This window comes from Homo sapiens, chromosome 7 (genome assembly GCF_000001405.40).
Source record: "Homo sapiens chromosome 7, GRCh38.p14 Primary Assembly".
Classification (NCBI taxonomy): Eukaryota; Metazoa; Chordata; class Mammalia; order Primates; family Hominidae; genus Homo; species Homo sapiens.
In genome coordinates this window covers 127,862,294-127,876,756 of record NC_000007.14, presented here as the reverse complement: position 1 = coordinate 127,876,756, position 14,463 = coordinate 127,862,294, and the positions used below count along the sequence as shown (strand labels likewise).

The 14,463-nt window shown below is 39.2% G+C and overlaps 1 protein-coding gene across 2 annotated transcripts in view, besides 1 other annotated feature; it reads right to left on the bottom strand.

Annotated features, from left to right (window-relative positions):
- Positions 1-14,463, bottom strand: part of SND1 (staphylococcal nuclease and tudor domain containing 1) — a 440,400-nt gene that overhangs the window by 215,837 nt on the left and 210,100 nt on the right. The window lies entirely within an intron of this gene.
- Positions 5,993-6,112: a silencer, noted in NCBI's record as "silent region_18596". NCBI's record gives its function as "represses an Ori minimal core promoter by ATAC-STARR-seq in GM12878 lymphoblastoid cells {active_cell/tissue: GM12878}" and the evidence as "EXISTENCE:reporter gene assay evidence [ECO:0000049][PMID:35858748]".

Below are 14,463 nucleotides of genomic sequence, written 5' to 3'. Positions count from 1 at the left end.
ACATTAAGATTAGACCAATCAAATACTGGATCAAGCTTGAAGAAAGTAAACTACATGAACTTCCAATCCAACTAAACTGGTCCACTCACTGCTAAATATGCCATGCATTCACATTTTCAACTATCTGCAGGACATGTGAATTTGTATGATTCATCATTGTGTAAAACTCAGCATTTCAAAAATAAAACTCACTTCCCTAGATAAAAGCTTTTTTGAATCTTACCAAATCAGCTCCTCCTCCCAACAGCCCTATCTGGAGGACCATCATACTCTCAGCACCTAGGCCTGACATCTCTCTCATTCCTGTATAAAAATCTCTGAACTCAAACCTACAGTGTTTTTCCCATGAACATTTTCTTTTCGATTCTCTCTCTACCCCAGTTGAGGCTCCTACTGCCTCTCACAGGGACTATTACAGCCTCCCATACCTGGTCTCCTGGTGATGCTGACCAATTCCAAACACTGTCAGCTGAATCTTCTTAAAGGATTAGGTTGGCAAGTAATCCTCATTCTTAAACACACCACAACCACCACAGAAAACTTTTTTAGAAATTTTCTAATACGAAGACAATCATTAGCATCATATCTGAATAATGACAATGAAGGGGGAAGGAGCAAAGGACAAAGAGAAGGAGAGGGGCAAAGGGGAGCAGGAAAAGGAAATGGTTAGGGGAGAGGAGGAAGCCTAAAGTTTACTGAGCACTATTCTAAACGCTGTACATTTATTAACTCATTTGATCTTCACAAAATTCTGATGAGATAGGGACTATTATTATTCCCTATTTTACAAATGAGAAACCTGAAGCACAGAAAGGTTACAAAGCTTGTAAGTGAAAAAGAACCAAGGAGGCACACACAGGCTGGAGGTAGAAACATGGTGTTTCTGTGATAAAAAGGACATTGCCAATGACCTTGTCCAACCTATAATCTGAAAACATCTGATGACACAACTCTCATCCATTTTTACTCAAAAGAATATTTCAGACATAATGAACATCTACAGGATGTCCACCATGGAACAGGCATTTAAACACACATTAACCTAATCATCCTAGTAATACAGAATACAAAGGCAGTATATATTGCTTCCAAAAAAGAGAAAAACATTGCAGCCTTGCCACATGTAATCATTTTGTAAGTGGCAGAGCCATGATTAGAAGCCAGGTTTTCTGATTTCAAACCTGGTTTTCTTTTGACTCAACAGTGCCACAATTCCAGGGCAACAGACTATTAAAGGTATTCTACAATCTACCCTCATACCTCTGACCCTATTCCATTAAATCCCTTCCAACTTTCTGCTTTAGCCTGAACAGGCTACTCCTTAGCCACCAACCAAGCCTGGCATTCTCCCCATGCCGGTGCCTGTAGCTGCACCACTCATCTGGCACTCAGCTTTTATTGCTGTATATTATCTTTTCTGGGTACATATCTTGTCTTCCCAACTAGATCATATTCCCTACAGATCCAAGAAGAGCAAAACACTTAGTAGGCACTCAATAAATATTTATTGGCTAGCTGATTGATTTTACTCACTGAGTTCCTAGGAGGTTCTGTGGGCTGTTGGATGAAAACAAAGTAATAACTGACTGAGTCATAGAATTTTTGAGCAAAAAGACTCCATAGAGAGAAACTAATCCAAATGCCTTCATACGCAGATGAAGACAGATCCAGAGAGAAACCAAGGAAATTTTTTAATGAGTTGTTGTCTAAAAGAAAAACAGAGTGACACCAGCATAATGGGCATCTAAGAGCCTTCTGATTCTTAGCCTGTTTCCCTTTATTACACTGCTGTGCTTTTATAATTCTGTAAAATAGAAATAAGTATACTGTGTGCATGAATTATCTAGGTTGCCCTTAATACATTAAAAATGTATTAGCATATTAAAAATAATCTATCCACATATTGTAAATTTGAGCACTCTAGTTCTAATATGTTAGCTAAATTATATATTAAACATTTAATTACAATAATTTGCAGGCCTTCTGGGGATTCAGAGGATTTTTTTGAGGGGTATGGGAGAAATGATTCGAAAATGTCTGATGACCCCTTCTTTTTTCTCAGGATATATTCCAACGTAAAGTAGAAATGTTTATTGTAGATCTAGGTATGTTTCCTTCATTCCTTATTTTTTTTTCTGCTCCTCTATCCTTTGAGAAACAAAATTTCACAAAAAATATCAGTATGGGGAGTGTGAATAGAAGTATCAAAAAACACCCTCAGCTTCTCTCAAGTCATTGATGGCGGGAGTAGGAATTGAGAGTTTGTGTAGTCACTCAGGGGACTTTTCTCTACTCCACCACTGTCCTAGACTCTGGACTCAAGTCAGTAACCTCAAAGGGTCCTGATACAAAAAATGATAACAGTCATTACATACTTTTGTGCATAATATGGTCTTTCAATATGTGTTTGAAAGTCAACTTTCACATGTTAAACAATGGATGTAACAGTCAACTGTTATCTCCCTTTTAACATATCACACTGTTGTACTCTTAATAGGATGCAATGCTAAGCTGTACACCACAGAAGATGAAAATCATCAGATGACTACCCTGTCCCTGTCCCTGGCAGGTGGGGCAGAGACACATGACAGAGTCTCTGCCTATTAAATGCTTCTGCGTGGAGAGTAATACAAAATAGAGGGAAGAGTCAAATTTCATTTACAGTGGTGTCCTGCCCCTGTGACACCATAAGGGAGGGTGTCCTGGCCAGACTGCTCCTAATTAAGACAACAAATCTGCATCCTGCTTCTTGGCCCTTTGCAGGAGCCCTGTTCTCCATCTATTTTCCAAGCCTGATGCTCCAGTGAGTTCTATTAGCTCTTCATAATGTCCCATACATCTTCCTTTTGTTTAGAATAGTCAGAGTTGTTGTTGTTTCTTGCAACCAGAAGGATCTTAACAGTACATTATGAGGTTCGATTTCAAGAGCTGAATAATAAAAAGTCCAGCTGGGTGTGGTGGCATGTGCCTATAGTCCCAACTACTTGGGATGCTGTTGTGGGAAGAACACTTGAGTCTAGGGGTTCAAGGAAGCAATATGCTATAATCATGCCTAAGAATGGCCACTGCACTCCAGTCTGGGCAACACAGCCTGTCTCTTAAAAAACACAAAACAAAACAAAATAAAAATAAATGGTCCCTAAGCCTGAGTTGCATAGGCCATGCTTTCTTCTAAACTAGGAAACACCGGAGCCCAGGCCCAGGGTGAGAGGTAGGTGACACAGTTAGGCTTCAAGAAGTCTTGAAGGCTCAGGTAAGGACATACAACAGGATTTTCTCTTCTCGGTCTTGCCCTGTATTACCCAATTCCCATTCCAGCTGCAGTGTCTAAGGTGGGTGGTTGGGCAAATCCCACTCCAATTACGGAGTCCAGGAAAGGTGGCTGGGTAGTGATTAATCTTTAATCCTCTGCTTAGGTACTTAGGATAGAGTAAGAGGGAAGGACTCTGTCTTACTCTGTCACCTCACCACTAGCTGAGTAGGAACTTAATGACGTGTTCTCTACCTGAACACATAAATTCCTGTGAGGTTCCCTAACCCACCTGAAACCCAACAGTTTCAGTCACCCTGCTCAGAAAAAGGAGAAAGGCAAGAGAAGACTGGTGATGAAGTGAAGGTGGCTTCAAGGATACTGCCACTGGGTGAAGAATAAAATCAAGTTTAGAAATATCCGTGAACGGCATATTAAAGGGTGGAATATATAAGAGATGAGTATCTTAAAGTCAAGAACATATCAATCTCTGGTTTTCACAAAGATACCACTATATTCCAGCAAAGAGATCAATTTAGGTGCTCTTAAGAATGAATGAACAAGGTAAATGTGATGTAGGTCTGTTGTTGGTCAAAGAGATATTCTCCTAGTTATTTTCTTTACATTTCTAACCAAATATGACTCCCCAACTACATTCATTTTCCCAATAGAAAAAAATCGATCGCAGACAGTAAACTTCTTACCAGTTAAAATAATTTCACATCTGTAGGTACCAAAAATATATTCAGCTTTTAGCTTAGCTTATTATGTTTGTTTTCTAAAGCTTAGAAAAGAGGAAACCAACATTCTAAAAAAGATTCACTGCGTGGCAGAGTCGTGTGTGTGTGTGTGTGTGTGTGTGTGTGTGTGTGTGTGTGCGTGTGTGTTAAAAAAGGTCTAATGTAAGATACTGTGTCATATCAACACTTTAACAGGAAAAAAAAATCCTCATCTAAATTATAAAAAATAGGTGAAGAGTGAGAAGAGCACAACAAAACAAATGTATATGGCCAAACAGAAATGCTGGGAATAAACACTGATCAATTAATTCTCCATCATCCATACCAACAAAAGAAAGAAGTTACACACAGCATTGGTATTTATTCTTCAGTACTGAAAGTCATCTTATGCACTTCCTCCAGCCCTCTCAGGCCAGAAAGCAATTCTGAGCCTGTTTCACAAAACCCCACATGGCACAGAGCAGGAACACAGAGCAGAGGATATGGGTTCTCACCCCAGCTCTCTCTATAGCTGCTTCACCTCATGTAAATGTGCTAAGCCTGTGCCAGTTTCCATACCTATAAAATGAGATGCTAGATCTAAATGCTCTACAAAATAACTTCTAGCTCAGACATATTATAATGAGTTTTCTTTTTGAGACACGGTCTCACTTTGTTGCCCAGGCTGGAGTACGTGGCACAATCCTAGCTCACCACAGACTCGAACTTCTGGGCTCAAGCAATCCTCCTGCCTCAGCCTCCTGATGAATTAGACTACAGGCGTGCACCACCACACCTGGCTAATCTTTTAAATTTTTTTGCAGAGATGGGGTGTCGCTATGTTGCCCAGGTTGGTCTCACACTCCTGACCTCAAGAGTTCTTCCTGCCTCGGCCTCCCAAAGTGTTGGGATTACAGGTGTGAGTCCCTCCTCCCAGCCTATAATTTTTAACATGAACTAGGATCTACTTATTAATAGTCACGTAGTGCATGTTCAATGTAGATTCACACTTCTATCCATATCTTTATAATGACACTTGATGATAATGTTTGAGGCCAACAAGATTGTTTATCATTTCAATGAGCATTAAGCATACCTTACACATTTCTAGTTTGGAGCGCTATGGCAGCAGGAGAAATTTCATTATTTTCAGTGATAAGATACAGTTTTCTGCAACTTATCACTGAAAATAATGAAAAACCAAACACTCATCTTCACATTTACATACAGTCATGCACTACATAATGATGTTTTGGTCAATGATGGAGCACATATACGCAGGTGGATCCCATAAGATTATAATGGAGCTAAAAAAATCTGCTATGGCCTAGAGACTGCGTAGTCATAGCCTGCAGCACAATGCATTACTCACAAGTTTGTGGTGATGCTGGTAAAAATAAACCTACCGCACTGTGAATCCTATAAATGTATAGCACATACAATTATGTACAGGCAGTAATGGTAATGGATAACAATAATAAATGACTATGTTAATGGTGCATGTATTTACTATCATACTTATTATTGTTATTTTAGAGTGCATGCCTTCCACTTAAAGAAATTAACTGTAAAACAGCCTCAGGTAGATCCTTCAGGGGGTATCCAGAAGAAGGTATTGTTATCATAGGAGATGACAGCTCCATTTACATTATTGCCCCCTGAAAACCTTCCAGTGGGACAAGATATAGAGGTGGAAGACAGTGATAAGGATTATCCTGACTGTGTAGGTCTAGGCTAATGTGTATGTTTGTGTCTTACTTTTCAACAAACGAGTTTTAAAAAGTAAAATAAATAAATAAATTTTAAAAATAGAAAAAAGTTTACAGAATAATGATATAAAAAATATTTTTGTAGCTGTGCAATGTTTGTTTTAAGCTAAGTGTTATTACAAAGGAGTCAAAGTTTCTTTTAAAAAAATTAAGCATTATAAAAGTTACAGTAATCTAAGGTTAATTTATTATTGAAAATGAAAACTTTTTGAAATCAATTTAATGTAGCCTAAGCGTACAGTTTATAAAGTCTACAGTAGCGTACAGTAACATCCTAGGCTTTCACATTCACTTCCTATTTCATCAATGATTCACCCAAAGCAACTTCCGGTCCTGCCAGCTCCATTCACGGTAAGTACCTTTTATACTCTAATTTTACTGTACCTTTTCTATGTTTAGATGTTTACATACACAAATACTTACCATTGTGTTATATAACTGCCTATAGTATTCAGTACAGCAACATGATGTACAGTTTTTAGTATAGGAACAACAGGCTATACCATACAGCCTCTGTGTGTAGTAGGCTATACTATCAGGGTTCCTGTGAGTACACTGCATGATGTTCCAACGATGACCAAATTGCCTAAGGACACATTTCTCAGAAGGTATCCCAATTGTTAAGTAATGCATGGCTGTAGCTTGTTAAGTAGTATAGGGGCCTATTATCAAGCTTATACTCGAAAAAGACAAGTAGCAGCAATATGTCAATAAAACCACTATGAGCTGTTTCTTGAGTGGTCAGAATGAGCTTGACAATATACTAAGGACCATAGGAGATTACTGCACAGTAAGTATTAAAAAGGCAGATGGAGTTGGTGACTACTACAGTCCTCTCACCAAAAAATTATTACTGAAAGAATCTTGACTGTAATTTCTTCTTCATTTTATAGGTGGCTAAACTGAGACCCAGAGATAGTAAGTAGTATTTAGTGATGGACCTGGGCTAGAACTCAGGTCTCAAGTCATAAAACAGGCATCCTTCCACCATGACAGCCTGTCTCCTACATTCACACACAGATTAGAAGTCAACCAGAACAAACTATATAAGGAGTGACTTACATGGATCTCAAGGGCATTATGCTAAATTTAAAAAGCCCATCTCACAGAATCACATATTATGATTCCATTTATGTAATGTTCATGAAATGACAAAACTATGGAGATGGAAAACAGTTGTCAGAGGGATGATGGGAAGGGAAAGGGGTAGAAGGGGTGGCACTAGGGAGACCTTTGTGATGACTGAATAATTTTCTACCTTCATTGTGATGTATGTGAATCGACAGTTGATAAAATGGCATAGAACTATACAAAGACACTGTATCAATGTAAACTTCCTGGTTTTGATATTGTACTATAATTATATGAGATCTAACCACTGGTGGAAACTGGGTGAAAGGTACATGGGATGGCCCTCTCTCTACTACCCTTGCCACTTCAGTGAATCTACAATTATTTTTAAAAAAAAGTCAATGGGATTTTAACTTACTGAAAGGAGACAAGAAAAGCATTAATGACTCTAAACTCCATTCTCACCTAGAATAATCAGAATAGTTCTCAACCAGAATAAATCTCTGAAGGTCAAAGTAGACAAAACTTGTCACCATCCCTCTACTCCAAACTCTGTAGTGGCTCCTGTCTCACTCAAAGCAAAGGCCATGTACAGCCTACAGGTCTGCTGTCCCCATTCCCTCCTTCGCTAACCCCATCTCCCACCACCTCCACCTTTGCTCCCTCTGCTCCAACCCTAAAGCCTTCTTTGCTATCCAGGACACTTGACCATAAGACCTCTGTCTCTAGTGTTGCCTTTGCCTTCTGCCACTTGCTTTTTGCCATCCTTCAGGTCCTTGCTCCTGATACCTTGCCACTGAGGCCTCCCTGACTCTTCCCTGGCTTCCCTACTAAAAAATTTCCCCCTCGTAACCCTGGAATACCTCCCTCAACTCTTTCATAGCTTTAGTTTTCTCTATAGCACTTTTCATCACCTATATATCTTTACTGCTTCTTTATCTGATTGCCCCCATTGGAACGAAAGTGCCGCACAAAATAGATCTCTCTATCATATGCACTGATCTATCCCCAGTGCAAAGAACTGGCGCCTGGCAACGTCATGTACTCAACTCAGTAAATAAGCTGTTGACTAGAGATGGAGGAAAAAAAATACCCACAAACTAAAGTTAAAAAAAATAAAACAACCATATAATGTTCATGTGGCCTAAGAAAACAGGTGCAATTTGGAGATTACATGCAAATGAGGTTGAGTTTTACTTACATTTGGAAACATGAGATTTTAAATTCCAAGTCTGGCTTTAGTAAGATGAAACTTGAGAAAGACATTTACCTTTTAAGTCATATTTTCTGTTCTATCATACCAAGCGGACTAACTTGACCTGAAGGACCTCTAGGGTGGTAGACAAAGCTAATGCTCTAAATGATGCCACAGAAGGCATCATCTGTGTTTCGGACCTTAGCCAAGCCTAGAAATAAAGACATACCCCATGGGGAGCCATGGAAAGGACACGAGCATTTGTTAAGTCAAATACCCTCTATAAGGCAGAAAAGATATTACATACTGGGAATAAAATAGTTATTTGTCACCTAGTGCTGTGTGTGCTATGAGTCTTTTTGTTGTTGTTGGCAGTGTCTGGTTCTGTCACCCAGGCTGGAGTGCAGTGGTGCAATCACAGTTACCTGCAACCTCCACCTCCTTGGCTCAAGTGAGCCTCCCACCTCAGCCTCCTGAGTACCTGGGACTATAGGCGCATGCTGCTACACCTGGCTATTTTTTAAGTAGAGAAAGGGTTTCACCATGTTGCCCAAGCTGGACCTGAACTCTTGGGCTCAAGTGATTCACCCACCTTGGTCTCTCAAAGTGCTGGGATTACAGGCGTGAGCCACCATGCCTGACCTACTATGAGTCTTATTATAAGTAAGCACCAAGTGTTGGGGGAAGACACACACAAGATGCACAATTCAGATTTTAGACGGAGTACCTACAGCAAAACTTTCCTGAGAAATGAAGCACTGAAGAATGAGTAAGAGCTAACCAGATGAAATGTATGTTCCAGGCAGAGAGCAGATTAAGTTAAATAGTAATGCATTTAATTTTTTTTTTTTTAAAGGAATGGTGAATGAGAACCAGGGAATGTAAATATAAACATGGAGAGGTAGGGAGGGGCCAGGTCATGGCTCAGTATACTCCACTCCTAAGGTTATGGAATGATTCTAAAAATCAGATGTGTGTTTCAAAAAGAGAATTAAAGCAGTAATGTAGAAAATGGATTGGAGGGCAGTAAGACTAGAAATAGAGAGGCTAGTAAAAAGAACTGCTGAGTTATTCTACACTGACAGCATAAACCAGGCAGTGAGGAGAGCCAGGATAGGATGAACCTGATATACCAGTAGGTAATTACATACTGGGAGTTAGGAGGAGATAAAGACGACAACATGATCTCTAGACTAAAAGACTATGTAAATGGTGACACCATCAAAAGACGCGATCATTTGAGTAAAGGAACAGCAGTTGAATATAGGTGGGAAGCCTGCTAGAGACAGGGAAAGGGAAGTCAGCAGCATCACCATCAGATCACCCAGAGACTGAATAGTGGTAAGAAGAGGGACAATGACAGAAGCCTAGGAAGCACAAATATTTAAGGAGCATTCAAAGCAGACTGAGAAAAAGTTATCAGAGTTGTAGAAGGAAATCCACGAAAGTGTGGTATACTGAAAAGGTAGAAGAAAACAAGATTTTAAAAGATAAGTATTAAATACTCCAGAGAGGTCAAGTAAAAGTAAAGACTGAGAAGTGTCCTTCAGGGAAGCATTGGTGAATGATGGGGAAGGTTCAAAGCTAGAAGGGAAAGGAATGAATAGCAAACGGGACAGAATTAAAATGTCTTTTAATTATTCTAATTAACTTGGCTATGAAGAGAAGGCAAGAAGAAGAAAAGCAGATATAATAGGATAGAAGACTGAAGGACAATTAAAAATAACACTAGTTAAAAAGAGAATAGCCAATAGCACAAAATCCCAAGGAGAACAAAAGAACTGGAATCTAGAGCATGTAGGCAGAACAATTAGTTTGGAAAGAAGAAGGTGAAACTGTCTACGGAGATGGGAAGGCAGGAGGTAAGAAAGCAAGCATAACAAGGAAGGCAAACTGGAAGCTGAGAGAACAAGAAGTTAAAGGCATCTTCCTGATAACCCTATATTTACTCCATAAAGTAAGAGATGAGACTGCTGACAGTGATAGGAAGAGATATAGTTAAGTAGGGGGGCTTGGTGGACAAAAGCGGTCAAAGTCTAAAATAGCCATGGTAGTGAAATAGCACCATTAAAACAGCATTTATGGAAAATTAATCCAGGAGTATTATGCAGCAAGATTTGAAGAGGGGGAAAACCTGCAGGTACGAAATGCTTGGATCTGCCTTGTTGAGTGCATGGAGTGGAGGGATGGCAAGAGTAGAAGGAAAGAACTGATAACAGAATTCTTTAACATATAAATAACTAAATCACTACCTTCCTAATGAAATTGCTTTCTCTCAATACCCCAAGGAACACCTAGGCAGCATCAAACACCTTTAATTATTTCAGCTCCTGGTGGGAATCAAAGCTATTATTGATGGGCAGCCCCTAGCTTTTAGATTTCCCAATCCAAAATGCTATATGCTTCTTGAACCATAGCTCATAATCCAACTTAGTAACTCATTAAATATGAATGACTATGCCTACTTAAAGCACATCTGGAATATTCCCTGTACAAGTGGTGATACATTTTAATGGTTGTCCAATCAACCTGGACAGCTCTTCAAAATGAGTTGTCTAGGTTCTTGGCTTCTCTTCGAGCTCAGTATGTCTGGCCGATATGAAAAGGAATAGAATCATCTGACAGGAGAAGACTCCAATTTGTTGAGTACCAAAAAAGCTGGGTCTAGCCCACTGCTTAGGTTGTATTTTAATAAACTACACAGGTGATTCTTGGGCACACTGGAGTTTGAAACCTTCATTTTAATCAGCATTAGAGTTAAGCATGTTGGCTATGAAATGAGAGTAAGATGATACAAATGGAAATGAAAAGCAGGTATGTGGTAAAAAAAAAAAAAAGGAGAAATAAAAAGTTGATAATCATCAGCATACAAAGGGTAGATGAAGTTATGATTTAACAAAATACCACATAAAATAAATACCACAGTCTGGGCAACATAGCAAGACCCTGTCTCTATTAAAAAAAAAAAAAAGATAAATAAATTAGCTGAGCATGATGGCATGCCTGTAGTCTCAGCTACTTGGGAAGCTGAAGTAGGAGGATCCAGGAGGTCAAGGCTGCCATAAACCATGATTGTGTCACTGCATTCCAGCCTGAGTGATAGGGCAAGACCTTGTCTCAAAAACGAAACAAACAAAACAAAACCACAAAGGAGAAAAAAAAAATTACAGAATCAAGACAGTCCCTTAGAGAATGTGAAGCCAAAGGACTTAATTAAATCTTTTGTTTGTTTGTTTGTTTGTTTAATCTTGTACCAAAGATAAGGTATGGCACTTACAAAGAACACATCCAGTTCCTGCTTCTCATTTCATTTCTGGAGTTCATTTCCAAAGACAGACAAACAATGTTTTTGACATCTGTATGGCATCTTTCTTTGAAGAAAAACTGTATGATACAATAATGCTCTGAGCCACATTTCCTAACCTACTTCCAATCTTGATCTTCCTAAACGAACTTCAAATTCTTTATAGATAGAAGGACAGAGGTCCTGTAACTTAGTAAGGGCCATGGCCAAGCATATGTCAACTATAGATAATTTGAAGGAACCCACCATATGTGTAGATGCTCTCAGAGGGATACACTAATGTAATCATCAATAGTGTTTCTCTCTCAATGGAATTCCTGCCTAACTGCTGATCTGGGTGCAAGCTAATTTCCCCCATGGTGAATACTGCTGTTGAGATGCAGAACTCTCCACCATCTGTTACCCAGAATTAGCATAATGACAGATTATCTAATCCCTTACATTTAACAGATATAAATGGTGCTTCTATAACATGAGTTCACTCACATCCTCATTCATATGGTCTACCCCCACCCTATAAAAATTGGTCCTCCCATTCTCCTGGTGATGGATCTGGTCTGGAGTTTACCTCCAATCTTGCCAAAGAATCCAGGTGCTTTGCCAATGAGAAGCTTTCCTAACCCATTTTATTCAGGAGTGGGAATGCAGCTGTTATTCCAGATGCATCTGAAAAGGGGCATGCTGAAAATAAAGAAAAACTGTCTCTAGTAGACCAGCAAAATCCATAGTGCAGGGAAGTGCCTTCAATTAGATCATATTAAAAACTTTGACAAGGTATACAAAGAAAAGGGTTAGTCAGCACTGAACTGGCGAGAATGAAAAAAGGGAGAAAGACACCAGAAAGAAATCAGAAAATTAAACTGGCAGCAAAGTAATAAAATTCTAACAGGAAAGACTCTGCTGTTTTACAGATTCAGAACTGTTCTAGATAGCAAGACTTAGGTAGCATTGAACAAAATATGAGAATCAGACACCCAGAAAAACAAGGACATGCTCACAGATTCAAATAACCAGAAGAGCACCATCAGCAAGAAGTGGATGGATGGTTGCTGGTGTCACCAAACAGAAGTGGTGAACTGTTCTACCCCCAGTGACCAGTGTAGAGATGGCTCAATTGGAAGGAAGTGAGAAGCCATCAGATTGTATTGAAAACAATTTCCAAAACATGCCATTTCCTCATAAACTGAGCCTTTGATAGGGCTCAAGAGAAAAAGATGACAAGAAAACATGCTTGCATATAAAGAGCTACCTAATTTCCTGGGGTGGGGGGTGGGGGAAGACTTAGAAAAATGGGAGAAGTTTCTTATTTATCCTAAATATCTAACTAATCAAATAAAGTATTTATTTATAACATTTATACATCATCAAGTATACATTTCAGAAAAGTTCTGCTCAAGCTGCACTCGGTATGGGTGTATTCAACACCAGAGTATACACCATCAATAGAGACACTTCTTGAGGTACTTTTCTCTCACTTTGAAATTTTATCATTTGTCTTATAAGTATATCGTATATTCCTATCTCCACAACATAACCTAGGACAGGGGCAGGCAAACTCTTCTCCAGTTTTTGGAGTTAAAGTTTTATGGGGACACCACACCCATTTGCTTGCACATCATCTATGGCTGCTTTACCGCTACAAAGGCAGAGCTGAATAGCTGCAAGGGAGACCATATGACTCTCAAAGCTGAAAATATTTACCATCTGGCCCTTTGAAGAAAAGTTTGCCAACTTATACCTTAGAGCACTGCTCTTCAAGGTGAGCTTTAACAGGTTACTTTCCATGGTGCTTGTAATGAGGGGGTCACACTCACAGGAATAATTACTGTATCTGTGTAAAAAAAAGTTAGCTATTGTTTTACGATTCTGCCAATATGACATTCATATAGCACTGGTTAATTCATATGTTCAAAACAAAGTAACTAAGGCAGCACACTGTAATATGACAGCCTCTGAGAAGACTCTATGGATAAGGTGACTTCCTCTTCACTAAGCAATAATTTTTTTTTGAGGGAAGAAAGAACATGGCATTTTTTCAAGGTATATTAACACTCTGGCCATAAGACTCTACAGTAAATAAACTGGCACCTCGCTTCCATGGAACATTTGTAATGCTTCCATTAAGAGTAAGGAATGCAACCAACACTGTCTTCTCTGCTTTTAAGAGCAGCAGGAGGTACAGAAAGAAGCTGTGTGGGATACTGGACTTGCTGTGCAATGTTACCTCCTGAAGGTTTTGTGGGGAAAAAATGAATTACTACATTTAGATAGTGCCTGGCGCACAGTAAGCATTATATATGTTGGCGGTCACTGCTGTTGTTATTAATTTTCATTATTATTAGCATTGGCCTAGTTATGTCACTCCTCGTGGACTCCGCTGCCTTGTTTGCAAAATGAGGGAGGTGGACTAGATAGTCCTATCGATGTCTTTCTACTAAAAAATTATATGACTTTATTAGAAGAAAAAAATCAAAATATAGACATCAAGGGACATGTTCTCAAAGAAAGCATCTTTTAGGAAATAGTTGAAAAGGTGAAGCTTGACTTCACAAGTCCAGAGATCTAGGAGACGAAGCTGTCAGTGCAAATTCTTGCTTCAAATGCAACTGTGCTGGGAAGAGGTCACCCTGAGCTGATAAAGATATCGTGTTCACCTCTTCAGCAGCAGTGCACGGCCTGGGAGAGCACCCATCCATCCGCAACACTCTCAATCATACATGCCACTACAGAGGCAAGATTCATGGCTTCAGCAACTGCCCAGCGTTATCTGATATGCATGAAATCAAAGTTTTCATCATTGGCCAGTGAGTGTTAAATCCCAGAATACCAGGATTAATGAAGGAATCATTAAAAACTCAGCATTAAATCACTTCTGTAGCCAATGCTGAGAGTGATGTCTGTAATACATTACAAGGCTGATTTAAAAGAAACAAGTTCCAATTTAGAAATGAATTACCTGAATTTTTTTTAACTGGTTGGATGGCTATCACAGCAATTTTGTTATTACAGGGGAAAGAGAGAATGGGTAACTTATAAATTATGCTGCAAATGGGGAATTGTCCTAAGATCACCGGGCACCGGATTCCAGGGCAAAAAACCTCTTAGAGACATATTAAGAGGGAGACGAGAGTCCTGGTAATCAAGTCAGAATTTCT